Raw genomic sequence first — 27,299 nt, forward strand, 5'->3', positions numbered from 1 at the left:
CTCAGCCAGTTATTTCCAAGAGGCCAGGCAGGCAGGAGAGGCCCAGGATCTGCCAGGACTGGGAAGGGAGGCAGGAGGCTTCTCTGGGTATAAAGCAGCTGAAATGTGGAGTTTCCTCCCAGGAGCTGAGAGGTAGCTGCAGGGCGAGCCCTGGGGGAAGTGTGCAGCCGCTGGAGCTCCGTCCTGGGCAGGGGTGGTCACGGCTTGAGGATGGCAAGGGCTGATGCCTTGTTTGCTTTTAAAATTGTTGCTATTTGCTGTAGTTCCCCTGTTATTCCTAAACTCTCAGGAAGCACCTACTGGCCTCAAGGTAGTCTCGCTTATGGGGCTGGGGATGAAGAAGAGTGGGGTGTGCAGGTGGGCAGAGCTCCAGCGGCAGGAGGCTGAGGGCGGGCTGGGGAGTAGCAGCAGGGGATGGGCACGAGGCCCCTTCGGTCCTCCTGCAGCTGTTTTAATGTGGCGTTTTGGAAAGAGCCGCACCCCGTGGGTGCCTATGGGAAGGAGGCGTCTTAGTCACATGCCCCTAACGATTGCGGCGTTTCTCTACAGCGTGTCCATGGGCCCAGTGCCTGGCGTGTCCTCCCTGGGAGCTTGCTGGACGCATGACCAGGATTCTGGGAGGGCAGAGGACAGGTGGGTCCTGGTGGTAGGTCAGCTGCTGAGTTTCCCTATGACGTTTGTTCCGCTGGTGCCCAGAGCCCCTTCAAGGTGTCCATCATCAGGGGAGAAGTGGCGCCACAAACTGCCTTTTAACCCTGGGGTCCTGCCAAGAGGTCTGGGGTGTCCTGGGGCCTGTGGCCTGGGCTGCAAGTGCAGCCAGTTCCCTCAGGGCATGGCCACCAGCCCTGGGCTCCCGTGCCCGGGTTTCCCTGCCTGCCTGGCTGGTCAGAGGAGGGAGTCCCTCTATCCACTCTGCCCCACATTAAGGGGAGAGACTGAAGAGGTGGCTGCCTGGACTGTGGAGCCCCAGGGTGGGCGGCCACCTTGGCCAGGACTCGGGCGCCCCCTTACAGAAGGCTGTGCTCACCCCTTCTTTTCTGCAAGTACCTGGGGACCTAGACGGGGGCAGGGGATGCCCAAAAGGGCCTAGACACCTTCCATGGCAGCCGCCATCACAGGGTCTGTGGGAGGGCGTGTCCTCCCTTCCGCAGGCCTGGTGGGCAGCGAGGCCGTGCAGCTGCGACCCACCCTCACATCCGGGCCGGGAGCGGACTGAGGCCCAAGGCTGAGCCTCCACTCTGGACCTGGGACGTCTGGGCAGAGGAGCCCCGTGGTGGGGCCAGGGCGAGGGCATAGGGGCCTCAGGGTGGGCCCTGGGTACCCTTGACCTGCAGAGGCGTGTGGGGAGGTTCCAGCAGCTTCTTGGAGAGGCCCGGGGTAGAAGCACTAGCAGGTGAGCTATTGTGGGCCTTGGCGAGGCCCAGCCTTGAGCCGGATGGCCCGTGCCCCAGCTTGGAGGGGCTTGTGGGCAGTGGAGTACCGAAGGGACCTAGGCAGTGGGAGGAAGGAGAGATGAGGGCTAGACCCAGGCAGAAGGTGCAAGATGGCCCGCCGGCCTGGCCCAGACAGGAGGGTGGGGTGGGCAGGAGGAGGTGGGGGTCCTGAGGTCAGTGCTTCAGCTGCTCGGGCTGGCAGGATGCCCACCCTGCTGGGAAGGAGCCTGGCCTTTCTCCAGAGCCACAGCAGGGGCCTGGGCACCCCGCACTTGGTCCAGGCTGAGGAGGCCTCAGGTGCTGGGAGGCCTGGGAGGGCCCGGAAGAGCCTGCCTTTCTGCCCCCTGCTGCCTCACTGTGGGAGGGCACAGAGGAAGTGAAGGGCGGGAGCTGGGAGAAGCGGGAGGAGGAGGGGCAAGAGGAGGGACAGGAGAGGCTGGGTGCCCAGGTGCTCTCTGAGCAGGACCTTCCATGCGGCTCTGGGGGGCCCCTGGCACTGGCAGGTCAGGGGTCAATGAGAGGAGGGAAAGGTGGCCGGGAGCAGCTGCTGGGGCGGGGGAGGGCAGGAAGTGCATGAATCAACGCATGGGTGGGGGTCCCCTGAGAGGCCCATGGGAGCCCCTGAGCCCGGCCCCTGGTAGAGGGGCACCAGGCCCAGCTGTGGGATTGTGCCTGGGATTCCTGCGGCTGGGATTTCCTGAAAACCCCTCCTGCCTCAGCTTTGAATCCGAGGGTCATCAGGAAGCGGTTCTGGGGCCCGATGGCCAGAGACCCAGGGACTGGGCAGAGGGCCTCTCCCTCCAGCAGCAGGGGTCACCCGTAGGCCCAGAAGCCCAGCCCTGGGGCCCAAGGAGGGCTGCCCCAGGCAGTGGTGTAGACAGGCTCTCAGAGCCTCCACGTGGCCCAGACTTGGGCTGGAGGGACTGAAGGTGGGGGCGCAGTGGGGCCCTGGGGAAGCCAGGCTGATCACACCCAGGTGCTTCAGGCAGGGCCTGGCAGGGCGAGGTCCACTGGGCTTTTTCCTAACGGGGTGGGGGATGGAGGGGCTCCCAGTCGGGCCCCTTCTTGTGTGCAGCCTCCTCCCTCTTCTCTCCCCTTCCCTCCTTTCTTGTCTGAATTAATCTCTCCCTCTCGCCCACTTCCCCACCTCTCAAAAGACCACAGGCACCCAGGATAACTCAGTACACATGGGTTCTCAGCTTCCTGTTCACAGAGAAACCTCAGACAAGAAGCACGTCGCCCATTTCTCATCAAGGCCAACCCCAGACCACGAGAGCGCTTTCTCTGCGTCAGCCCCAGCACCCCAGCGCCCCTGCCTCCGGGCGCCCGCGGCCTCCGCACTCCAGTGGCCCAGACCTGGCTGAGGCAGCTCCCGTGGTAGATCAAGCCTCACAGGCGGCTGGAAGAGCCAGTTCTGGGCTGGGCCTGTGGGAACAGGCGTCTGTTAGTCAGGGTTTCAGGAATGCGGCCTTCGAAGCCTGAAGCGGGGAATGGCGGCTCTGGGCCCTCAAGGGGCAGGCGGTGAGCCTGGGAGGCCAGGCCGGGCTGACCCAAGGGGAGAGGACCCTCTCCGCCCACTGCCGCTGGCCCTGGGCAGGTCTAGAGCCTGGGGGTCTCCAGAGGCACAATCCCTTATCTCCGGGAGAAGGCAGAGGGCAGAGGCAGGAAACAAATCTCCTGTCAAAATTCCTAATTAAAATACTAAGTAAGTGATGGCTCCAGGCTGAAACACCGGACACTGAGAGAATAAGGGAAAATCAGCCCCGACAGCCAGGGCTAACAAGACGGTTAATTACAGCCCGAGAAGAACGTTAACAGTATTAATTCTAACCACAAAGGAGGAAAAGAGAAGACCGCCTAAGAAGGAGAAGGAGGGTCCCTTTCCCAGATGAGGCTGCCCTAACCACTGGGACCTCGGCCCCTCCCAGGCCTGAGGGAGCCCAGCTCTGCCTGGCCCCACCCATCTCACACCAGCCCTGCCTGACCCGCCCACCTCACCCCAACCCTGGCTGGCCCCGCCCACCCTTGCCTCAGCCCTGCCCGGCCCCTCCCACCCTTGCCCAGCCCCTGCTTGGCCCCTCCCACTCGTCCCAACCCTTCGTGTCACCGCCAACCCTTGCCCCAGTCCGGCCCGGCCCCTCCCACCCTTGCCCCAGCCCTGCCTGGCCCCTCCCACCCTTGCCCCAGTCCGGCCCGGCCCCTCCCACCCTTGCCCCAGTCCTGCCCGGCCCCTCCCACCCTTGCCCCAGTCCTGCCCGGCCCCTCCCACCCTTGCCCCAGCCCTGCCCGGCCCCTCCCACCCTTGCCCCAGTCCTGCCCGGCCCCTCCCACCCTTGCCCCAGTCCTGCCCGGCCCCTCCCACCCTTGCCCCAGTCCTGCCCGGCCCCTCCCACCCTTGCCCCAGTCCTGCCCGGCCCCTCCCACCCTTGCCCCAGTCCGGCCTGGCCCCTCCCACCCTTGCCCCAGTCCGGCCTGGCCCCTCCCACCCTTGCCCCAGTCCGGCCTGGCCCCTCCCACCCTTGCCCAGCCCCTGCTTGGCCCCTCCCACTCGTCCCAACCCTTCGTGTCACCGCCAACCCTTGCCCCAGTCCTGCCCGGCCCCTCCCACCCTTGCCCCAGTCCTGCCCGGCCCCTCCCACCCTTGCCCCAGTCCGGCCTGGCCCCTCCCACCCTTGCCCCAGTCCGGCCTGGCCCCTCCCACCCTTGCCCCAGCCCCTGCCTGGTCCTGCCCACCTCACCCCAGCACTTCCTATGGGACTCACGCCTTTGTCTCGGGCTTTTGGTTTTCAAAATAAATTATAAGTTTTAATAAAATAAAGTACTAGAAAAGCTATTCATTACGGAAGATGTAAAAATCCGAAAAGAAACTTCCATTTGGGAGGAGAAATGGAGAACGGAGCCCAGGAGGTGGAGGAAGGAGGTGGAAGGCCCTGGGCCCTGGAAGGTTCTGTCTGTTCTCCAGGAACCCAGCTTCCATTTACTCCCCTAAAGCAGAGGGATGCTCTGGGAAGGCAGGTGTGGGGCCCAAAGGGACCCTGATGAGGACACGTGGGGTCAGCGGGGGTGGGGGCTGCAGCCGGAGCCGGTACCAGGTGTGCCCCCCCATGCCACTCTGGAGCCGGTACCAGGTGTGCCCCCCCGTGCCACTCTGGCCTTCAGCACGTGGACGAGAAAACCAGCCCCTCATGATGTGGATCCCCTCTTTAAACTGGGCTGCACTTCGGTCTATAAAATATTCAGTGTCTTTCTAAATAATTGCATTATTTATGATGCCGCTCGTGAAATATTCATGTCTGACTTTGACACGGAGCCAGTATGCCCATGCAGGTCTGTGGCGACGGGCTGGCCTTTCCCAGGTAATGGGAGGAAGTAGGGCTGCTGGGGTGGGGGGTGCTCGGGGAGTCGGTGGAGCCCCCTGGCAGGTGGATCTCACCCGGGAGCCAGGGATCTCCCCACTGGCAGCCTTGGGGCCTGCCTCCTCTGCTGGGGAGCTCATGAGTGGGTGGGTGGGCACCGGCTCCCCAATGCCCGATCCTCATGATGGCCACTTCGAAGCCCTGGCAGACTGGAGGCATCCCAGCCCCCACCCCAGCCCCCACCCCAACCCCCACCCAACCTCAACCCCCACCCCAGCCCCTACTTCAACCCCCACCCCAGCCCCCAACCCTCACCCCAGCCCCCACCCCAGCCCCGCAACCCTCACCCCAGCCCCCACCCCAGTCCTCACCCCAACCTCACCCCAGCCCTCACCCCAACCCCCACCCCAACCCCCACCCCAATCCCCACCCCAACCCCAGCCCCCACCACAACATCCACCCCAACCCCCACCCCAACATCCACTCCAGGCCCCACCCTAGCCTCCACCCCAACCCCTACTCCAACCCCCACCCCAGCCCCGACCCCATCCCCCACCCCGGTCCCCTCCCCAGCCTGACTGAGGAGGCTCCTGGGCCATGGCTGCTGCCCTGAGAAGGCCCTCCCGTGCTCAGAGGCACCCCACTCCCACTCTTCCCCGCCGAGGTCCTGCCATCCCAGCCCCCACCATGGACCCTGGAGAAGGTGACAGAAGGAAGGAGACAGAGGGCAGGCTCTGAGTGTTTGGGGATCTGTGTGCGGGGAGGGACTCCCCAGGCCTCTGCTGGTGGGAAGGGGCGGACTTGGCCCCAAACTGAGGTATTTGTCCTATCCTGTGGATTTTGCGGTGTGGCCTTCGTGAAGGGAGAGTGGGGGGCAGGGTGGTCACCCTGGGGCTCCCCTGAGAGGCCCCCTGCCCTCACGTCAGCCACCCTGGACTTGGGAGTCCAGGCCCGTGCCCCCCAGGCCCCCACTTCTCCTTGTCCTTCCCCTGCACATCCCCCCTCCTTGAGGGTGCAGAAACCACCTAAAGGTCTTGGTCATTGTCAAGGAGCCTTGGTCCCAGGACACTGCAGCACAGGGTGGAGTGGCAGGAGTGTGTCCAGCCAGCACAGACTCTGAGGGTCCCACAGGTCACTGGACATGGACCTGGGCCAGCTGAGGGAGGGCTGACCTCTGGGCCCCCCCTCATGTTCCAAAGCCCAGGGCACAGCCCCCCAGTCAGGAGGATCAGCTTTCTGGAGGTCCTCAGAGGGGCCCACCCTTTACAAGGCCTGGCCCGAGGAAATGAAGGGGCGGCCCCTGGCTGAATGGGGGAGGGTCCTTGGAGTCTGAGCGTCTTAGAATTCCTGGGGATGTCCGCTTTGGTTCTACAGTTCGCAGATAGGGGAACTGAATCCTGGAAACAGGCAGGGCGAGGGGTGGGCCCGCCAAGCACTGCGCCCCACTCTATGCCAGGTCTATGTCAGCCCCTCTCTTGCCCTCTCAGAGCTCAGGGTACATTTTGAGCCCACCTGGCCTGGAGCACGCAGGGCTGGGAGCTGGCTGGGACCTGGACAGGGCTCAGATGCAAAGGCAGCTTCCCCCAGCACCTTCCAGGCTCTGGCTGTTCCAAACCATGCTCCAGGCTCAGATGGGCTTGTCCCAAAACAGCTGAGCCATTACCTTCACTTGACAAGGGCCCCCCAAAACACAGCATTCCAGGGGAATGGGTGACCACCTCGTGGCCACCCCTTGCCTCCCTGCTGGCCCCATCCTGGGCAGGGGAGCAGCTCCTGCCTCCAGGAACCTTCTCCCAGGAGACCATGCGCAACAGAGGGGCGGCGCCCGGCGGGTCAGCACAGAGGCTTGCCTCACCTGCGGTTGCTGAATGAGTGAGTTAGTGGGTGAGGACCTGCAGGCAGCCCCTGGCTGACACTTTGGCTGTGGAGGAAGAAATCAGGATGTTCAGGGCCAGAGGGGAAGGTGGCACGGAAGGCAAGAGGGGAGCATCTCCCTGTGGAAGAGCAGGGTGCTGGGTGGGGCATGCTGGGGTGCCGGGACCCCTGCGCTGGCTGCCACAGTCTGGCAGGGAGCACGCTGCAGCCGCCTGCAGGAGCTGAGCCCAAGGGGACAGCCGTCCGTGTGTTGGGGAAAGGGGACAGCGATATGTGTGTTGGGGGTGGCCCCGCATACCCTCCAGGTAAAGCCATGCACTGTACCTGGGGCGTGGCCCTTGAGTGGCCACTGGAGCCGCCTGGGCCTGAGGGTGGGGTGGGGAGCCCATGTCAGGGTCCAGCCAAAGGTGCCACAGGGCTCCAGCACCAGAGGCACCCAGCATGGCCCTGCCTAGCCCTAGGGCCCTCTGCTGCCCAGGGACCCGACCCTGCAGTCTCTGGGTGGTCAGCGCTGCCCTAGAGGGGCGTGACACCCTCTGCTGGTCCCATACAGAAGGACACAGCTGCCACCCAGCATGCAGCTCCCCCAGGCACTGGGTGCCCACGCTGTACCCGGCAGCTTACACTGTGCCTTGTCACCCACGCTGCACCTGGGAGCCCGCACTGTGCCTAGACGCCCACGCTGCGCCTGGGACCTCACACTGCACGAGGTGCCGGCGCCACTCAGGCAGACCACCCTCTCCATGTGCGGCAGGATCCACCAGGGAGGGGCACCCTGACCCTGATCTCCCCAGGCAGCTCTGGAAAGGCCTGTGTCCTGGCTGGGGACCTCTGGGAGGCCATGGAGCTGGGAGGGAGGGACTGGAGGTCTGAGGGATCCAAGTAGCCCGTCCTGCTGCACCTGCCAGGCCCCAGTCAGGCCTGGCCATTAAGGCTGAAGGATGACCCCTCACCTCCTGCCCCTGGGGGCTGAGCCCTACCTAGGAACCTGAGTGTTTCCAGCACCTCAGCCCTGGCAGTCCCGGCTAGGCAGATCCACCCAGCACCGTGCAGGAGGCCCCAGGACTGAGCCCCGCAAGGAACATCTCCCAGTGCCCACAGCCCACCTAGGGGCCAGTCCACCAGGGATTGGGGGGGGCGGGGCCTGGGAAGGACAGGGGAAGAGTGAACCACTAGGCCCTGCGTGGCCACTTCCCAGCAGCCAGATTTAAGGCCAGGTTAGGATAAATCTCTTGTGCCTCGGTTTCCCCTTCTGTACCCCAGGATCACATTACCCACCCCCCAACACTGTTCTGCAGAATGTGCAGAAAATTGCAGGTGGTGACGCTTCTGCAAACAGCAGAGCCCCGGGCACCTGTCCAAGGCGGCTCCGGAAGGCCCCGCGAGTCCCGTGCGCGGGGACTTCCCAGGGGCGGGGTCGCGGGGCAGGGCGGGCGCTGGCTCCACCCCCCGCCGGCCCCGCAGGAACCGGAAAGGGGCTGGACGGTGTAGCGGCGCCCCCTGCCGACACCTCCTAGCATCGCGTCCCCGCGTGGCCGCGGGGCGGGGCCCGGGGGGTCGTTCCGGAGTGGCCCCTGCAGGGCTTACAAACAGACGCGGCGGCTGCGAGAGGGGGACACGATGACTTCTTTCTAGAGCAGGGACTTAGAGAACCGAGTCTTTATGCATGAATGTACCTGCATAACCATTTGCTAAATAGGGCCCGGAGGAGGCTCATAGGAGGGTGTAGGGGCAGGAGCCTTCTGGCTTTGAGCCCCAGGGTTGAAGCTGGAGCTTTCCCAGGTGGAGAAGACACAGCGAAGACCAGGGCGGGACGGCCCGTGGCAGGTGCCGCACACCGCGCCGTGGGCTGAGGGACAGGTCAGGACCCCAGGCACAGAGGTGGGTGGCCAAGCCCCGGCTCCCTGGCCCCTCTCCGAGGCACCAGGGCGTGGTCCCGAGTTTGGACTCAGAAGAGACTGTGCAGAGGCTGTGTTGTCCCCCACAGGTGTGCCCCTTTCATGACACGTCACAGCAGAGCCCCACGATGGCCTCTAAGTGTAAGTGGAGGGAAGAGTTGCTGGTCTCTCGCTTTAAATCACAAGCTGGACATGGCTAAGCTGAGTGAGGCAGGCAGGTGAAGGCCAAGGTCGATAGCTAGGCCTCTTGCACCAGTGAGCCAAGTTATGAATACCCAGGAAATGTCCTTGAAGGAAGTTAAAATGCTACTCCAGTGGACACACAGTTGCCAACAAGTGAAACTGCCTCCTTGCTGATGTGGAGAAAGTTCGAGTGGTCCGGACAGAAGATCAAACCAGCCATGACCCTCCCTTAAGCCAGAGCCTCGACCAGAGCAAGGCCCTAACTCTCTCCAACTCCACAAAGGTGGAGAGGGTGAGGAAGCTGCAGAAGAAAAGTCTGAAGTCCACAGAGGTTGGTTCATGAGGTTTAAGGAAAGAAGCCGTCTCCGTAAGGTAAAGATGTGGCTTCTTCGCAGGCTGCCAGGGTGAGGCCGCATCAGGAGGCTACGTCTGCGGAGCCATCCCAGGAGCAATGGGCAGCGTCTGTGGGTCTAGTGGCGAGGTCTCTAGTTCTGAGTCTCCAGGGAGAGGTGCGCAGGGAGCCCAGGGCCCCCCTTCCCCCACGGCACACAAACGTCTATCTCCCCGCAGCCTGCACCGATCCCTCGTGAACCACGGGACCGCGTGCGGTTATTCTCAGCTCAGAGATAGGCCCTAGACTGGAGCCCAGCTGCACACACCTCAAAACGAACGTCCGAGACTCCAGGGCTGCAGTCACTCTTGGACGAATTCTAAGGTCATCCCAGTCCTCTCAGGGGAGAGGGCACAGGCTGCAGGACCCGGTGACCAGCGTGAGTCCAGAAGGGTAGGGCCAAGGGGTCAGAGCCACCACCCCAGCCACCTCAGAACCAGAGCAGCCCTGGGCGTCCCGCTGTGGGCCTCGAGACCCCAGCATGATTCCGGGTAAAGAATTTCCACTGTCAAGAAGTGTAAACATGATTATCTGAGGTGCAATGGCCATATTTTCAAACCAAACTTCAGAAGGGGCGTGGCAGTACTGAATTCTGCCTGGGTGTGGTTTTTCCAGGCAGCAGCCCCCAACGGGTTTTCTTTTCTTTTCTTTTTGACATAGGGTCTCACTCTGTTGCCCAGGCTGGGCAGCCTCAACCTTCCAGGCTCCAGAGATCCTCCCACCTCGGTCTCCCTAGTAGCTGGGACTACAGGCATGCGCCACCATGCCCAGCTAATTTCTAAACTTATTTTTGTAGAGATGAGGTTTCTCTCAGTTGACCAAGCTGGTCTTGAACTCCTGGCCTCAAGTGATCCTCCTGCCTCGGCCTCCCAAAGATCTGGGATGGCAAGCTTGAGCTGTGGCCAGCCTTGACCAGGTTTCCCATGGGCCTGGGGTGTGCTTGTCTCCAGCAGCTCTGAAGCGCCTCTCTTCCAACTCCACTCCAGTTCCAGCAGCACAGAGACCCAGATGGGCATCCATCCACGCTGGGGTCAGGCCCATGCGCCAAGCTCCTCTGAGTAGCCTGAGTCCTCAGCCATGGTGACCCCACGTGGAAAAGTCTTGAAACTGACGTCTCAAAGAGGATGATGTGTGAGCGACCGTGACAGCAGCACAAATCCCAGGTGGACAGGACACTCCGGCTGCCCCGAGTGGCCGAGGACGGGTCGGCATCTCCTGGCATTTTTGTCCGTTTTGGTGGCAGGTGAGCCCAGCACGTAGGGAGGGATGGGCAGCCCACAGCCGGGACTGGACGACTCAGAAGTTCCGGCTAAGGTAGGATAACTTGGGCAGGCTTCCCGAGTCCCTCCCAGCTGCGGTCCCCTGGCCCCCACTTGCTCAGTGGCCAGGTGTGGGAGGAGCCAGCGGCCCTGTGCCAAGGGAGCACGAGTTGGGGCGTGTGGGGATGGGAGGCCGGGTCGAAGGCCGCCTTTCAGTGCAGGGAAGGACCTGATACCACAGTCCAGCAGCAGAGGGAAAGCCAGGCCAGGGGTTTGAGGCCAGAGATCTCAGAACCTTGGGAGCCAGCTGCTAGTCTGCATTTCAGGGTGCCAGGAGTCCCTGGAGACGGGGATGGAGCCCTGTGGGTGGAGACAGCAGGACTTCAGGTCACCAATGAGGCCAGGGTGCTGGTGCTCAGGGTCCCAGCTGTGGGGGTCTCAGTTCTCCCAGCCCTGCTCCCAGGCTGACCCTCCAGGCCAGCCCCTCTCTGTAGGTCTGAGGAGGGTCCTTATGGAGCACAGGTGGGGCTGGGGAAATGGCACATGTCTCCGCAAAGCTCCTGTGCCTCCTTTGCTCCGGAGAGCCTGCTCCTTCACAGAGGGCGTCTGATACAGCCTGAGAGGGGCACTGTGGGGGTGACAGTCATGGGGGGCGGTCCACAGGGGGTGCATCCTACCAGCAGCCACAGTCTGAGGGGTATAGTCCATGATGGGCACAGTCCTGGGGGGACACAGTCCTGGGTGTGCATTCTGGTGCCTGCTCTGCTGCACACCCTGCACTGAAGCTGATTGCTCCCGCTGAGACCCCATGTCAGGCACATCATCATGTTGCATAGGAAGTCCTGTGACCAGGGCCCAAGGACCACAGAGGCTGAGCCAGGCGGCCACCTTGGCCACGGCCTCCCCAAGACACGACATGCTTTGAGGTGTGAGTTGGTGCTGGCCCTGCCATGTGGCTGCCACCACACCGCTTCCAGACCATGAGGCCCCTCACACACGTGTGGCCAGAGTGTCCGCACGGCCCAGGGACAGGAGCGTGTGCCCTCCAGGAGGCTGTTCTGAGGCTGCGTGGCAGGGCATGGTGTCCCCTCCACAGGGGCACCCTGCCTGGGCTGCGAGGATGCAGGGTGTTGTGGGTGGAGCCTGGATGGAGCAAGGACCATGCTCTGTCCTCCGTGCAGGGAGCTTGGGTCCTGGGAGAGGAGCAAGGTTCAGGCCATGCTGTCACTGGGAGATGACAACTTCATTCCCCAGCAACCGCAATGCTTGGCAGATGATGGCAATGCTGGGAGCCAATGGGACATGCATGGACAAACCATGCAGAAAGCCACGTGTGCTCAGGTGAGAGCCAGGAGGCCATCGTTTCCTGAGCGCGACCCTGCGTGAAGGAAGCTGCCTTGGGGTCTGGGCTGTCCAGCCCATCTCCCTGTGGGCTCTCCAGCACTTCCAGACCTTTGCACTCACTCCAGCGGGGCAGCAGGTGGGCAGCAGGTGCCACAGAACCCCGGCAGGAGCCCATGCAGCACTTCCAGCCAGTGGAGGTGGCTCCTGGGGGTGATCGTGGCCCCTGCAGGAGCCCAGAGCCTCTGTGCAGTGTTGCTGGGTCAGGGCCCTCATCCTCTGCCCCTGCGGACGGCCTGGTCTAGCTCAAGCCCTCTTCACCTGTGGCCTGGCTGGGCTGTCAGTCTCTGCAGCCCCTTGGAGGTGCCTGGAGGGGGTCAGCATCTCTGCCAAGCCCTGGCCTCAGAGTGTGGACAGTGATCTCTGCAGGATCTCAGTACAGGCAGGTGTGCCAACTCTCTGCCCACACCGGATGTTAGAGGCTGACATTGGGTGGGTGTAAAGGCAAGATGATTGATTGAAGGGGAAACTGAGGCAGGGTGGCTTGCCCCAGGTGCCGCCTGAATTCCCCAGCCAGCCCCACATTCCCAGCCAGCCTCCCTTTTGGGATGTGCTTCCCTGCTGCCGCCTAAGTCAGGACCACCCCAGCCCCCAACCCACCTCAGCAGCCGGATGCAGCCTCCTCAGAGCCCGGAGCACCGTGGGTTTGGACCCCAACACCTGCCTCTTGCCAGCCTCTGGCTCCTTTTCATGTCCTCAGAAAGTACTCACCCCCGCGGTAAGCAGGTGGGTAGCAGGTGCCTGGGGAGGGAGGGCAGGGGAGGGACAGCTTCGCGGGCAGCCACCAAGCACAGGAGGTACCAATACCCACCGCCAGGAGGGGCCTGGAGGGCCCCGGGAAGCCATCACCCCAATGAGGGACCTGCCTGTGCCAGATCACCAGGTGGCACCATCCGGACCCCTCCTTCCCGCCTGCACCCGAGAGTGGATGTGAGGCGGATCCCACAGGGCCCAGCCAACCTCAGCCTTTACCTCCTTGCGGCTGTGGGCTGCAGGCTCTGCACTGACTGGCTGGCATGGAGGAACGCACCCGGCCGTCCCCGAAGGGAGGGGCGTGGGCACACGGAGGTCTTGGGGCACCTTCTCTCCTCGTCATCTGGCCCTGTCTGTGGCTCCCATCCTCCAAGGAGGCCGTGCTCGTGGCAGGAGCATAGAAGGCTGGGTGCCAGCAGAGGCCCCGCGACGTGGGGGAAATGTGGACCCTGATGGAGGCGGTGATGGTCCCTGCTGGCGTGGAGCCTATGAGGCTGAGCCTTGTGTGGATGACAGGCACCCGCTGAGGGGGTCTAGGAGAGACCATCCCACCCAGATTCCAGAGCCTCAGCCCAGGGGGTGTTCCCGGGACCCAGCATGATCAGGGGCCTGAAAACCTCCTTGACGCCAGGAGCGCCTGAGCAACGCTGTCCACCCGAGTGGCTTGATTGGCTGCTCTGGGCAATGGCGTTCCCCAGGGAGCATCATCAATGCCAAGTCTGTCTCTCAGGAAAGAGACCAAGGTGGCCACGGTGGCACTTTTCCTAGGACTCCCATCCTCAGATATCAAGGGCCCCCAAAAGAGCGAGTCCCCCAGAGCCGGCAGGTGGAAGTGGCTCCTGGGACTGGAGACGGAAGCTGGAGACGGCCCTGAACAGTGTGGCCAGAACACTGCCCCCCATGCTCCCCAACTCCTGTGGGCCACAGCGCAGCCCCCTCCGCCCAGCCCGCAGCGCCCAGCCCGCTGCCGTGCCCACCTCCACCAGCAGAGGGCACCCCGCCCACGTGAGCAGGTGCCCGACGCCCCGCGCCCTGTACCACAGCCCTGTGCCCTGAGCCCCACGCCCCATGGGAGCCTGCCTCTCCGCACGCATTCCCATTCCCCCTGGAAACCACCCTGGAGCCAACAGCACCAAATGCTTCTCCAAAAAGACCTCTGACCACAAAACCACTAGCACAGTTACAGAGGACATGGGGTTCACAGGCCAAGCGTCTGCCTTGCCATCAGCTTGTGGCGCGTCCTCCAGGCGGTTCCCACTGTGATTTCCCCAGTCACTGGGCTTCACTGCCCCCGTCGTGGAATGTGCAGGCCCTGCCAGGTTTCCCACCTCCAAGGTGCAGTGCTGTGATGGCCGCCGCGGTCCCTGCGTCCTGTGTGCACCGGCATCATCGTCATCCTTGTCATCGTCATCCCTCCAGGAGTCTGCACCCTGAGCTGAGCACCAGGGCAGGGCAGCCGCTTTGCACACAGTCTGGGAGTCTGGCCCTCCCTGTTCCTGGAAGAGCCTGGGCTGTGAACTTTTAAACTGGGCAAGGTGTGACTGGAGGGTGTGCCGCAGTGGGAGAGGACACAGGGCAGGGTGTGACTGGAGGGTGTGCCGCAGTGAGCGAGGACACAGGGGTCTCCCATTGATCTCGGCCCCCGGCATGGCTCCCCGCACCACCGCAGACCGGCCGTGCTCCTGCCTCAGGCCCTGGCAACCCTCCCGTCAGGTGAGGCCTGGCCCCGCAGCCTCTGAGGCCTCCCAGGCTGTCTGCCAGCTCTGATGGGGGTCAGGAGGCTGGGTGGAGACCCCCGTAGACCAGGACCTCAGCAGGTGGCTCTGCCACACTCAGCCTTGGGACCCCCACACACTTCTGTCTACAGAACAACTCAGACCCGCCGCAGGTGCCTGGTGATGGTGGGAGCTGTGTTGCGTGCAGTCTGGCGGTGCACAGGCCACGTGCTCCTTTCTCTGCCGGGCTGCAGGCTTCGGAAAGGTGGTGGAGGAGTCTCCTGTGGCTGCTCTAACTGATGGCCACAAACTGAACAGCTTGAAAAGTCCACCTGTGAGCCCACAGTGTGGAGGTCAAAGTCCAACTCAGATCTCACTAGGCTGAAACCAGGGTGTGGGCAGAGCTGTGTGTTCTTTGGGGACTCGGAGAGAATTCGTTTTCTTGCCTTTTCCAGCTTCTAGAGGCCACAACGTTCCCGGCTCCTGGCCCCTCCTGCCTGTTGAAGCCAGCAGCAGCCACCAGCTGAGTTTCCACCCTCGTGTCTCCCTGGACTCTCGTCTTCTGCCTCCCTCCTCTCCTTTTCTGGACTCTTGTAACTCGGGGGATCCACCCGGATGATCCAGACAATGTCCCCATGTTAGGGTCACTCAGTTCCCTCTGCCATGCAAAGTAACACATTTGCAGGTCAGAGGGTTTAGGGCGTGGATGTCTTGGGGTGCATCTCGGGCGTGCCCCCCACGTGGGGGTCTCTTCCAACGGTGGTGTTGCCCTCACACAGTCTCCAAAAGCGTCCCGGTGCCTGCGGCCTCCTCAGCCTCACACCCGGAGTTGAGCTTTGCAGTGGGTGTGCCTGTCCAGCTCAGGGTGACCTGTGGGTGACCAACACAGGGTGGGGGCTGCAGCTGAAAAGTGGGGCCAGATGCTGAGAGCACAGACCTGGGATTAAACCAGCTGGCCAGGTGAGGGATCGCCTTCTCCATGGCGGCCGATGGCCTCCGGCCCATGCTCCATGCAGCGCCCAGCCACTTCTCTGCTGCCTTCCACGTGGCCCCTCCCCTCTGCAGCCAGGCACTGCAGAGGGGAGTGCTGAGTTCAGGCGGCAAGGACAATGAGCCATGTTGCAGGTGGTCCCGGTTAGGTGGTTTTGGCCCCATGTAGGTTCAAACTTCTCCAACATCTGCTCCTTGAGGGACAGTGAAGAATGACTTCGGTTTGTTTTGTGGTTATTCAGGCTTTCCCAATTGTGGAGCTAGTCTAGGATGGACTTTGGGTCTGCCCAGCAGCCCTGGAGGGTGCTGGAGTAGGGGGCAGCATCTGCATGCTGTGGGATCCCCTGGGGAAGAGGGTCTGTCTGGGCTCGGCCAGCACAGAGATGGACGGAGCAGCCGGGTTCTCACTGCCCTTGCTTCTGCCTCCCAGGGGCCCTGTCCCCACCTGGCCTGGGTGGAGGTGGCTGCAGACTGTCTGGGCTGCCTCTACTTTCCCCAGGCCAGTGAGGGGCCCTCCTGGGATGGCAGGGACACTCCAGGCTCTGCCTGACCTGCAGCTCCATTAGGTCCTAGCAGGACCTCTCCATGCCCTTGGAGCCTGGGGGTCCTCCCCAGAGTGGTCCCAGGCGGGAGGAACGGTGGCTGCCAGAGCCTCAGCCACACCAGCCTGGACCTGCCTGTTCCAAGGCCACTCAGAGCCCCTGTGTCTCCCCCAGACTCCAGAGGAAGGAAGGACAGGCTGGCACTCTACTTGGAATTCACAGCAACACCAGGGCCCCGCACCCCAGGCCTGCCCTGCTCTCAGCTCTCCCCCTCCACTGTCAAGTTCCCTCCTCTGCCCTCCATCCTCCTCCCTCCTCCTTCATCCTCCTCCTCTTTCCTCCTCCATCCTCCTCCTCCCCTTCTTCTCTCCCCCCCAGCTAACAGTGCTTTCCATCTGATCTCCTCTCAGGAGCCCTCCTGTCTCCCCGTCCTGGCAGCCCCTCCCGCCCTTCCTTGTTGCCCCCAGCCCCTCTCTCTTGCTTCCCTGGCACTCTCTGGCCTGTGCACACCTCCCTGGGGGCATGGCTGGCTCTGCTCTGTGTCCAGTGCTATTCCCCTGTGCTCGTGTGGCCGTGGCTCCGGAACAGGAGAGGAAGAGCCATGGGCGTCCCACATCCGGGTGGGGCCTAACTACGCCCCACGCCAGGCGTGGCAGCTGAGCACTCAGCGTGGCCCAGGGAGACGAGGGCCTATGGGGCATGCAGAGGCCATTCCAGCGAGGCTGACTGAGGGCCAGCAGTTAGGGCGGCACGGGCTGGGTCACCAGACTGGGGAGCTCTCAGCTTGTGACCTCTTCGAGGTGCCTTATTTTGCTGCAGAAGGGGCCTGTGTGTGATGCAGCCGCCCCAGCAGGGTGGGGTCCAGGGAGTCCCAGAGGGGCAGGTGCGAGTCACTCCTGTGAGGCATCTCCCGGTTCCCTGGGCGAGGTTCCAGGCTGAGGGTGCAGCCTGCCCTTTGCCACCTGCCCTGGCTGGTTTCAAGCAGGCATGGGCTCAGCTGTGCCCGCTGCTGGTGGCTGTCCTAGCAGAGTCCAGCCTGCAGCCCTGCACCCGGCACCCAATCCAGCTCCCCCAAGCTTTCCTTGCCCTGCCGGGCCCCTCCTTGGGCCTTGGGTGAAATCAGGTCACTGGGCTCTTCCTCCTGGGAAGCAGAGCAGCCTCCGGAACCGGGGCGGGCTGGGGGCTCCCTGGGGAGCTGAGAATGAGATTCTTCAGGTCGATTCTAAATTACACAGAAGGTGGTTGGACTCCGCGGGCCTCGGAACCACGGGGAGCCACCGTCCCAGAGGTCCCAGCAGAATGGGGCCTGCAGTTTCTTCTCGGAAGGCCCAGCTGCCTCGAGGTGTGTGGGCCCTAAATAAGGAAATAACGATGGTGGGGGGTTGGGGGACAAAACTGAGGAGGGGGCGGGTGGGGGGCTTCAGCTCAAGGACGGGCGGCGAGAGAGCAGGAAGGCTGGGCTCCAGGAGGGAAAGGGAGGTGCTGGCACCCAACCCCTGACAAAGTAGGGAGACCCACAGGGACAGGCTGGGCCCCTGCAGGGCCGAGGCACCCCATCCCACAGGAGGCGCAGCCTCAGCCCATGCCTTGTTTTACCTGGGTCTCCAGACCGCAAGGACACTTGGCTGTGAGCAGGACTCCGGGCTCCCACCCTCCAGCGATGAGCACCCAGAGTAGCCCAGCACGTGGAGGTCAGGGCAGCCGGGAGGCACCTGCTGCTGGCAGAGGAAAGGGGGATCCCTCGATGGGCCCCATGCTCCTCCTGGCCCGGCGGCCGCTGGAGCTGGTGGGCAAAGCCCAGACCTCCATCTGGAGGCCCAGGCGGGTAGCAAGCAGGTACGCCTCTACTCCCCGCAGGGACAGCGGCTCAGGAAGCCACCTGCTGCCGGTGGGCACGGATCGCTGTGTGGAACCCACAGTCATGGGGCTTCCCAGCCCTTTAGACTGAGCCCTGGCAGAGCACAGCTCATGCACACCATGGCGCTGGAATGCCAGGTCCACACTGCAGGGCCTGGGTGCCCCTCTCCTGGGGCGCCTGCTCTATCCCTCCCCTTCCCTCCTTCTCCCTCTTCAGTCATCAGCAGCTGCACAGTTGTCTGGGAGAGAGGCCCTGGAGTGGGGCCTCGGGCTGGGTGAGGGCATCAGGCTGGTCCGAGGCTGCCCGGCGTGGCCAGTGGGGATCGGGTCAATTCCACGAGGCTCCACATCTTTTCCTGGAGAGAGGGGTGGTTCCCACTCCCTGAGCAGGCCCCAGGGGCAGTAGCCTGCGCTGCTCTGCCGGTGGCCACCCGAGGCTGGGGTGCGGGCCATGGCCAGTCTCTGGCCCGGGGCCCCAGGCAACGCTGGACAGGGTGGAAAGCCAGGCCATCAGAGCAGCGCAGGGCGGCCCGTAGAGGCCGTCGGAGCAGCGCAGGGTGGCCTGTTGCATCACTGCCACCCTGAGCCTCTTCTCCAAGGTTGCCAGGCGGTGGGGGGCTGGGCCCCAGGGCCAGAGTCCCCAAATCCTGACAGCGCCCTTGGCCAGTGTCTTCTGGGGCTCTGCCCTGACCAATATGGGATTTTTCCAAGGAGGTTCTGAGCATATTCAGCTGGGAACAGACTGCCCCGTGCCAGCCACTGACCCTACATGTGGGCTTTGTCGGCAGGAGCACAAGAGCTTTCCTGGTCTGGGTGCTCCGTAGCCCTGGCCCAGCACAGTGCGTGTGCCATCATTTTTATGAGCAGGCAGGTTCTGGAGGGTTTTGGCCACAGGAGGGAGTGAGATGCCTCTGCAGCTCAAGAAGCATGTCCAGCCCCACAGGCCCAGCCCCATGGGGCTTCTGTGGGCCAGGAGCCCCTTCCCCTTGCAGGGAAGTGGGCCTGAGGAGATGGGCAGGACGTGCTCGGACCCCAGAGTGATTATGGGAAAGACCTCTCCCAGGAGTGCGTGGCCGGTGATGAGGCCGGGACAGACGGCTCCCAGCACCCAGGTCCCAGGGCAGGAGGTGGGTGGGTCTGGGCCGCCCACACCAGGCTGAGCTACTCACAGGGTCCCTGGAGCTGCATCGTCGGGGGCTTTGATGGTGCCCGTACCGCAGTTGGGGAAAGTGAGGAGTCATTCGCCAGAGTCAACAGACGTGCATGGCGGCGCTGTGCTCAAGCCTGGGCGGTCTGGAACCCTGATGCACCCTGCAAAGCTCCAGGGCCTGGCAGCCGGAGATGCCCCAGCCTTGAATGCATCCATCACCGAGCTGGGGGCCGTGGTCCCCCTCACTGGCTACCCACACGCCCCTAAGGACAGCCTCCCTGACACAGCGGCATGCCTCCTGGCAGGCCCACAGGGGACCTGGGGCCAGGGCTGCTCAGCCTGCCCACGTGTCTTGGAAAGGCTGTCGCTGGCTCGGCCGGATCCTCGTGTTCTCTGCCGGAGTGAAAACCAGCTTGTTCTGTCCAAGCCTGGAACCGGCCCAGGCTTCCAGGAGGAGGCCATGCTTGCCTGCCCTTGGCCAAGGGGAGCCAACCGCCCTTCCTGGTTCCAGGGAACCCCACGCTGTCTGCTTTGCCCAGAGACCCAGCTCCCTCCCTTGGAGCAGGCTCGCTGCCTCCCGGGTGTGGTAGGGGTGGCTGGGCCTCCCTTGGACAACGCTGGCTGGTTCTCTTCTCTGGCTGAGAGTCAGATCCCGTGCTTGCCCCAACCCAGAAGCTTCCAGGATGCTTTGCCTGAGCCAGGCCCTGGCCAGGGCCAGAGAAGTCCCCGTCCTCCCGGCCAGGCAGGGCAGGGAGCTGAGCCCAGGACGTGGAACATGCAGACTTGGATTAGCTGAGGGCTGGCTGTGGCTGGGGGCCCTCCCTGGCCTCTCTCTCAGAGCCTGTTTCTTTCCTTGTGAGGTGGTGACAGTAGCCCTGACGTCACAGCATGGAGCAGGATCACATGAACAGCAAATCCTGGCCCACGGTAGGCACACGCAGGGGTCAGGACGTTGGCCTGCGCCCTTCCCTGGGGGATGGTGGCTCAGGACCCCAGGCTGGCCTCCCTGCTGGCACCAGAACCCAGGGCCCCCTGGGCACAGGCCTGGGAAGGCTGAAAGAAGGTGTGGCCCAGCACAGTCCAGCATGGAGAGCCTCAGTGCCTGCCCCCTGGTAGGGTCCCCAGCCCCTACTCCCACACCTTTGCTGGGCAGCAGGTCCCCCCACAGGGGCTCAAAGGCTGACGGCCTTCCCTGAGGGTGCAAGGCTGGTTTCTGCAGAGTCCAGGGTGGGTGCTGGTGGCTTTGGGCAGTGTCTGGCGGCCCTGCGGATGCCCTGTGGATACAGCCCAGTGGGCAGCACAGAGCCAGACCCTGCCCTGCCCTGCCCTGCCCTGCCTTGCCCTGCCCTGCCCCGCCCCACCCTGCCCTGCCATCCCCAGGGTAAGGTCCCACAAGCCAGATCCTCCCTGCGTGTAGTCACCAGTCAAGGACTGCTCCCCAGCAATTCCTCCTCGCTAGCGCCACCCTCCCCGTGCTTACACAGCTGCAGCCCCCCGCCGCAATCCTTCCGGGCCCAGCCTGCCCCAGGACACACTCCCTTAGGAAGGTCTTTGCTACTGAACGGCTCGTTGGCCCTCACGGACCCTCAGGTGCGTGTCCGACAGCCCCTCTGGAGACTCACAGCCCGGCCTCCGTGCCTGGCTCAGAGCCGGAAGAGCTCCGCAGCCTCCGTCAGTCACACCGAGCCCAGCCTGGGGAAGGCCCCAGAAGCAGGAGTGTGCAGCCTCACAGACCGCACCCGGCCCTCCGCTCGGGGCTCTCTGGCCTGCGTGCTCAGAGCAGGAGGAGGTGGCCCAGGCTGTAGCCCCTGCTCAGGAGGCCGTGGAGAACCAGCTGGAGTCCCCACCACGCCCTGAGCGAGGGGGCGGCAGAAGGGAGGCGGCTCTGTCTCCGTGACATCAGGAGGGCCCGGGGGGCGGAGCAGGAAGACGAGTGACCACGACGCCAGGTATGGCGCTGAGCACCACGTGCAGGCCTAGCCGGTGACCCTCACAAGCCCTGCATAAGGTCAGGGTCACGCTCCCATTTTACAGATGGGGAAGCCCAGGCACCCGGACCACGCAGGGGGCCTTGTGCAGGACAGGGGTCATGTCTGGTCCCGTCCAGGTCACCTTACAGGTGAGACGCCCGGGCCCGCAGGTTGAGGCCGGCCAGCCCCCTCCCAACAGACCCCCTTGGTGGCTCTGAGTGAGGGCTGGTCCAGGGACAGGGCCTGAGGGGCACCACTGGGACCCAGCTGGAGGGTGTTCAGGAGCCATGAGGCTGCAGTCAGGCTGGCCCTGGGATGCCAGAGGGGATGCAGCCCCCACCGGGCCCCTCCTGTGGCCACAGCACAGCCCAGCCTGCCCCAGACAGGCTGCCAAGGCCTGGTTCAGGCCAGGGTGCCGGGCTGAGGTCGTGCCCACATTGCCACCCCTCTGCTCTGTGTGCTCAACTCAAACCCGCCCGGCCCTGCATGCAAACTTCCAGCTGAGACCCTCTGAGGCCCCTGGCGCTGAAGGATCAGGGTGCCCCCTGTGTATGATTTGAAATAACAACAGCACTAAGCCATCGAATGGGTGAAAGGTCAGAGTTCTGTTCTTTCCCACAGAGACAGCTTGGATGCCTTTTTTGAAATAACAAATATCAAATCCTTTCTAAAATTGTCACACACGGCCCCGCCTGGTTGGTGCCCAAGGACGTGCCCGGCCCACCCCGGCACCCTGCAGTTCCTCCCACCACCGTCTGGCCTGCTGAGCCTGCTGTCCTCGGCCCCCGGGAAGGAGCTCCCTTCCGCTCAGAGGGCTTCAGACCAGCCCGGTCTCCATCACACCCTCCACGCCGCCTCCTCCCAAGGCAGGCTCTGCCCCTGGACTGTAGAGAAGGCTCCAAAAGGACCGACCCCCCAGGACTGGAGACTCAGGAGAGGGAGCGCTTCCCTGAGTGCCAGTGGACTGGACCCTACCCTGAGCCAGGCCTAGACCAGGGGTCCACCCTGTGTGGCCGGGGAGCAAGAAAGCCAGTGGGGCCATCGCCTTGGTGCAGGTTCCGTGGGAAAGGGTCCTTTTTCCAACGGGGCGGGAAGAGGTGCCAGGCAGATGGAAGTCTCGGTTTCCCCAAAGGAGCCATCGGCCTGTGGCTGGAGGTCCTGCTTCCTTCCCCACCCCAGCTGGCCCTGGAGGTGGATGGCAGGCCCACCGCAAGCCCTGAGAAGCTGGGCGGCCTGGGTCAGTCCAGAACTCCCCTGACCCGCCTTTCCTGTTGCACGTGGGGACGCCAAAGCCAGGGAGGCTCAGCCCTGTGAGGCCCTGGGTGCTGGACAGAAAGACTCTTGCTCCTCCAGCCACCTCAGTGCTCTCAGCTGGCCAGGGCCATGTGTCACCCACTGAGCTGGGGAGCCCTTAGGTAGAGACACGGCAGGGTCCACGCAGGTGACACCTGGGTGACAATTTGAAAAAGGAGGCCTCAGGTAACTGTGGCCTGTGGACCGTGGCTGTGCCCAGCACTCAGCCATTTGCCTGATGAAAGACAGTCAGGGAGAGTGCCAGCTGACCGGGTGGGGGCGTGAGCTGAGCAGGGGAGGAGGGGCCCCATGTGATGCTCCGTGGGGGGAGGGACCCTCGGCAGAGGGCGTTTGACTCGAGGAGGGGGCGCCAGGCCCCGGCTCAGCTCACCACCCGGCCCATGTCCAGCATCCCCCCAAAGCCAGCCTCTGCCCGGGCCGAGGCTGCCCTCCCAGGGGTGGGGAAGCCTTGGCCCCACCTGCTGCCCAGTCTCCCCAGGCTGCTCTCACCACAGTGCCCCAGATTTTGCTTCTGGAAATACACTGGCAATTAAATCAAAAAGCCCTTAGAGCCGCCCAGAGAGGAAAGGTGAGCGCTTACGCAACAGCTCATTACCGCGGCTCCCGAGGGCCCAGGAAGATGCCCGTCCACCAAGGCCACCTGCCCAGGACTCTGCCTGGGGGCAGGAGGAGGGCAGGACACCAGCTGCCTCTGACCTGCAGCCCCTCACGTCCTCACAAGGGAGGATATCCCCCTCCCAGGGCCAGCCACGGTTCAACGCGGTGCATGAGCACAAGGTGCTGGGTGGGGCCAGGGGACACCTGTCTCAGGCTCAAGGCTAAGGAAGGGAGGAACGCTACTGAGCAGAGCTGTGCGGCCCCAAGGCCGGCTCCAGGCAGGCGGGGCAACGCCAGCTCCCAGGGCGGGAGGGGACGGGGGAACAGCCCCTGGGAGGCGCCAGGGTCGTGGGGGTGTTGGGGAGGTGAGGGACAGGGTGCCGCTCTGGGGGTGGTCAGAGTCCTGCTGGTCTGGCGCTGACAGGACTCAGGTCCACCTCCCTGCCTGCATACAAGGGGAGACTGAGGGTCTTCACGCCCATTCATCCCGCTCAACGCTGAAATGAAAGGAGGCAAGGAAAGAGGGAGAGGGCAAGGGAGGGAGAGAGGAACCAAGGGAGAGAGGGAAGAAGGGAGGGAGAAGGAGAGGGAGTTCGGGGAGGGAGAAGGGGAGGAGGAGAAGAAGCTGGAAAGGGAGGGGAGGGAGGAGATGGGGAGGAGATGGGAGGCAGGGGGAGGGGAGGGAGGAGATGGGATAGGGGAGGAGATGGAAAGCAGGGGAGGGGAGGGGAGGGAAGGCAGGGGAGGGGAGGGAAGGCAGGGGAGGGGAGGGGAGGGAAGGCAGGGGAGGGGAGGAGATGGAAGGCGGGGGAGGGGAGGGAAAGCAGGGGAGGGGAGGGGAGGGGTCTAGCGGCACCTAGAGAGTGTAGACAGTGCTGGCTGTTCTGAAGGGGCTGCAGCAGCTCTCCGAGTCTTTTCTGGGGCCTCTTGGGCCTGTTGACCCTCACGCGGTCCTTGCCCCTGTGGGCACTTCTTCCTGCCTCCTGGACAGTGGTGGGGGTGTTGGGGGTTGGGGTTCTGTCTCCCACCCACCAGGGCCTCAGGAATCTCTGGCAGCACTGGCCCCTTGCCCTGGGCCACGGGACACTGCTAGGCTGATGTTTGCAGCCCCGTGGCCACGGCTGTTGCAGCCCCTGCCCCCTGCCCAGGGGTCAGCAGGTCCCAAGAGCCGCAGAGTCCCCCTCCGCCGTCTGCCTCAGTTCAAGCTCTGGCCCTTCCTTCACCAAGAAGAAAACTCAGTGGGCCCACTTGATGCTTGTTTTCCCTGAAAATAATAATATAATAATAATAATAATGGCTCCTGACTTATTTAATAATAAAATTGTAGAACATTTATAAAATAGAAGAAAACCACAACCTCACCCCAAAACCCGGAGCGGGAAGGCCTGATGGCAAGCGTCTGCTCGGCCCTTCCAGCCTGTCCCTGGCACGCTGACCCTGCTTGGGACTCTCCTTGCCCGATCGAGCCTGCCCCGGGGCACCAGAGGACAATAAACCCGTGAAAGCTAGGCTCGGTGACCAGGGCTGCCCCAGCGAGGGTGAAACAGGGCTCAGCCAGGAGGGCTGGGGCAGCGGCAGGTGTCCAGCCACGGGGTGGGGCTGGTTCCCTGGGGCCTGTCCCAGGAGGGGCATTAGGGTAAAAGATCTGACTGTAAGGCCTCAGGCAAGCACAGGTGGGAAACCTCTGCAGGTCCCAGAGGCCAGGCCAGGGGGGCAGTTTGGGGCAGGCAGGGGGCTGGAGGGGAAGAGCAGGGGCTTGGTAATGGCCTTGACTTTCACCAGCCTGGAGACCAGCCGCAGAGTGGGGCGAGCTTTGCTTTCTGGGTTCTGACTTTGAGCGGCGGGCTCTGTGCTCTGGTGGGCTGCCAAGTCCCAGTGAGTCTGTCTCCAGGGGAAACTGCCTATTTGTTTAGGAAAATATGTTAATGGCCTTTTGGGTAGTGGGAGGAAAATCTCAGGGCACCGTCTGAAATCAACAGAGTCAAAGTGGCTCACAGCACAGGAGGGGTGTCCCACGGGGCGCAGGGCTGCCTCAAAGGCGGAACTGTTAGGGGCCCTCAGATTGGACCCAAGGGGCAGGGGAGAGGGGATTTGATACAGGATAAATTGTACGTAGTTTTAATTTAATTTATCTGATGACTAGAGATGTTAAGCATTTCTACTTTGGACATTTGATTTGTTTCATTTAAATCGTCTTAGGCTGGTCTTTCTCCATTTTTTTACTGGGATATTTGTTTTTTTTTAAATTAGTTTTGTGGTTCTTCATCTGTGGCAAATACTTTTTCCTGTTTGTCACTTGACTTTTAATTTATTTAAGGTATTTTTATAAATAAAAATGTTAAAATTCTATGCACTCAAATTTGTACATATTTTCCCTTGATGAAGACTGTTTGGTTTATGCTTAGAAAGTTCTTATCAAATTCAAAATTGGTGCAATACTTACAGACGTATGTGTTTTTATTTATAGAATGATTTGCTTTTTTATTTATTCTCTAGCCCACCTGGAATTGATTTATGTGAACACTTGGCTAGGAATATAATTTTATTTTTTCTCCAAGTAATGAACCTGCCTTCCCGGGACACTTGCGGTGTTTCATCCTGCGGCCGCCTGGGCCCTTGTGGTTTTGTGCTTTGAGTGGTGCTTAACGAAAGGGCCTCTGGAAGTGTGTGTGCGGCTTAAAGGAGACTCGGAAGACTGAGCCACGTCTCGGGATCAGGAGCGTAGAGCTGGCACCCCCCTAACAGGAACCCTGGGAGGCAAGCTGTTGCCAGGAGACCCTCACACGGGCAGCAGCCTTGGTTAAGAGATGGGCCCACCCAGAGCAGCCTGGTGGGGTATCAGGAAAGAAAAGGCCTGATCTTGCTCTCCTCCCACCTCCATCTCCTGCCAGTTCCTCCCTTTGCCAAACCCAACTAGAAGGCAGAGGGCATGGGAGTCCCCTGGTACTGCCGCGGAGGCGGATCCCAGAACGCCCCCAGCACACAATGTCCTCACTAGCAACAACTAAAGCTAGAAATCACAGACGATGTCTTCAAAGTTCTGGGGCAAAACGATTTTAAACCAGATTCTTTACGCTGCTGAACTATCAGCAAGCAGGTGTGTGGTGTGTTGCAGACGCTTATGAAACCACGGAGGGGACGAGGCCGCACGGAGGGAGGAGTGATGTGGTGAGAGGTTCAGAGGCTGGGTTAGCGACAAGATGGAACAAAAAGCTCATGGAGAGTTCCACTTCCACGTGGGAGGTGGCAGCCCACGGCAGGCCAGTGATCCTGCAACCACGACGAGAAAAAGCCAGGGGGTGTGTGAGAATCCTGCCTCCAAGGGCATCAGAGAGCTGTAGAGGCAACTAGGCAAGGGACAAGCACCCCCAAGCTGAGCCGAGTGTTTCCCAGCTGCCTGCTGGCTGGACACCGGTCTGGCCCAGACAAGAGGCCACTTCTGGACAAAGAGAAATGGCAAAACTTTTGGTGCTTGCCACGGAGCTAAAGGCAGATTGGAAACTCGAGGGGCTCAAACAAACCACTGGTTCTTCTGAGGGGCATGTGCTGAGTCTATGGCCACAGGGGAGGCTGGGAGGTGGGAGTTTAGCTAAGTCCTAAGGCAGAGTGGACTCTCTGGCCCTCCCATCCCTGGGGACAGAGTTCCTCAAGCATATCCTCTCCATCTCTGTCAAATCATTCATGTGATTACAAAGCCAGGAGACATAGAAGGCTGGAGAGTTCAGCTGGAACCTCCAAAAGGCAGAGCCAGGCCTTGTGCAGACCTCAGGGAAACGGAGGTCTGCCAGGCAGGCAAGGCCATACCCAAGTGTGGGTAGACTGAGTCTCACTAAAACTGCAAGCTGCTCCTCCCAGCACAACCCTGGCCGGAGGGACACGGTGAGGCTGCGCTCTCTCTGCCTTAACGAGGAAAAGAGACCCTCGCTGGTGCGGATGAGATCACCCGGGTCTCACCGGCTCTTTTATACACAATGTCAGGCATTTAATAAACAACTTTCAGACATGGAAAGAGGCAAGAAAATATGGCCAATAACTAAGAGGAAAAAAGAGACAATAGAAGTAGACCCCGCAGTGATCCAGACATTACAGTTTGCAGACAAGGACTTTAAATTAACTACAGTGAATAAATTTGTATTAGTTCGTTTTCACACCACTATAAAGAACTACAAGAGGGGCCGGGCGCAGTGTCTCACTCCTGTCATCCCAGCACTTTGAGAGGCTGAGGTGGGTGGATCACTTGAGGTCAGGAGGCCAGCCTGGCCAACATGGTGAAACCCCGTCTCTACTAAATATACAAAAAATTAGCCAAGCATAGTAGTGCATGCCTGTAGTCCCAGCTGCTCCGGAGGCTGAGGCAGGAGAATCGCTTGAATCTGGAAGGTGGAGATTCCAGTGAGCTGAGATCGCACCACTGCACTCCAGCCTGGGCAGCAGAGTGAGACTCTGTTTCAATTAAAGAACAAAAAGAACCACCTGAGACTGAGTTATCTATAAAGAGGTTTAATTGACTCAGAGCTCCACATGGCTTGGGAGGCCTCAGGAAACTTACAATCATGGTGGAATGGTGGAAGGCAAAGGGGAAGCAAGGCTCGTCTTACATGGTGGCAGGAGAGAG

At 62.2% G+C, this 27,299-nt stretch overlaps 2 long non-coding RNA genes across 4 annotated transcripts, besides 7 other annotated features; both read left to right on the forward strand.

Moving 5' to 3' along the window:
* The first annotated feature begins 42 nt into the window (after window positions 1–42).
* LINC02870 (long intergenic non-protein coding RNA 2870) lies at window positions 43–3,160 on the forward strand. Its single transcript, NR_149317.1, has 3 exons — window positions 43–132; window positions 550–633; window positions 2,591–3,160. It is a non-coding gene; the product is annotated as a long intergenic non-protein coding RNA 2870 (long non-coding RNA).
* Window positions 3,152–3,391: an enhancer, noted in NCBI's record as "active region_4225". NCBI's record gives its function as "activates an Ori minimal core promoter by ATAC-STARR-seq in GM12878 lymphoblastoid cells {active_cell/tissue: GM12878}" and the evidence as "EXISTENCE:reporter gene assay evidence [ECO:0000049][PMID:35858748]".
* Window positions 3,422–3,491: a silencer, noted in NCBI's record as "silent region_2966". NCBI's record gives its function as "represses an Ori minimal core promoter by ATAC-STARR-seq in GM12878 lymphoblastoid cells {active_cell/tissue: GM12878}" and the evidence as "EXISTENCE:reporter gene assay evidence [ECO:0000049][PMID:35858748]".
* Window positions 7,961–8,390: a silencer, noted in NCBI's record as "silent region_2967". NCBI's record gives its function as "represses an Ori minimal core promoter by ATAC-STARR-seq in GM12878 lymphoblastoid cells {active_cell/tissue: GM12878}" and the evidence as "EXISTENCE:reporter gene assay evidence [ECO:0000049][PMID:35858748]".
* Window positions 7,961–9,008: a biological region, named in NCBI's record as "H3K27ac-H3K4me1 hESC enhancer GRCh37_chr10:134266794-134267658".
* Window positions 8,144–9,008: an enhancer, noted in NCBI's record as "H3K27ac-H3K4me1 hESC enhancer chr10:134266794-134267658 (GRCh37/hg19 assembly coordinates)". NCBI's record gives its function as "activates a minimal SCP1, AML or CMV promoter by ChIP-STARR-seq in naive H9 embryonic stem cells {active_cell/tissue: H9 hESC(naive)}" and the evidence as "EXISTENCE:reporter gene assay evidence [ECO:0000049][PMID:30033119]".
* Window positions 13,454–13,503: a silencer, noted in NCBI's record as "silent region_2968". NCBI's record gives its function as "represses an Ori minimal core promoter by ATAC-STARR-seq in GM12878 lymphoblastoid cells {active_cell/tissue: GM12878}" and the evidence as "EXISTENCE:reporter gene assay evidence [ECO:0000049][PMID:35858748]".
* Window positions 16,947–22,945, forward strand: LOC105378569 (uncharacterized). 3 transcript variants are annotated; one of them, XR_007062344.1, is made up of 4 exons: window positions 16,947–17,138; window positions 17,405–17,632; window positions 19,664–19,730; window positions 20,288–21,040. It is a non-coding gene; the product is annotated as an uncharacterized LOC105378569 (long non-coding RNA). The 3 variants fall into 3 exon arrangements; XR_007062343.1 differs by having other exon boundaries at window positions 19,664–22,945; XR_007062345.1 differs by lacking the exon at window positions 17,405–17,632.
* Window positions 20,105–20,695: an enhancer, noted in NCBI's record as "H3K27ac-H3K4me1 hESC enhancer chr10:134278755-134279345 (GRCh37/hg19 assembly coordinates)". NCBI's record gives its function as "activates a minimal SCP1, AML or CMV promoter by ChIP-STARR-seq in naive H9 embryonic stem cells {active_cell/tissue: H9 hESC(naive)}" and the evidence as "EXISTENCE:reporter gene assay evidence [ECO:0000049][PMID:30033119]".
* Window positions 22,946–27,299: the final 4,354 nt, after the last annotated feature.

This window comes from Homo sapiens, chromosome 10, assembly GCF_000001405.40.
Source record: "Homo sapiens chromosome 10, GRCh38.p14 Primary Assembly".
NCBI lineage: Eukaryota > Metazoa > Chordata > Mammalia > Primates > Hominidae > Homo > Homo sapiens.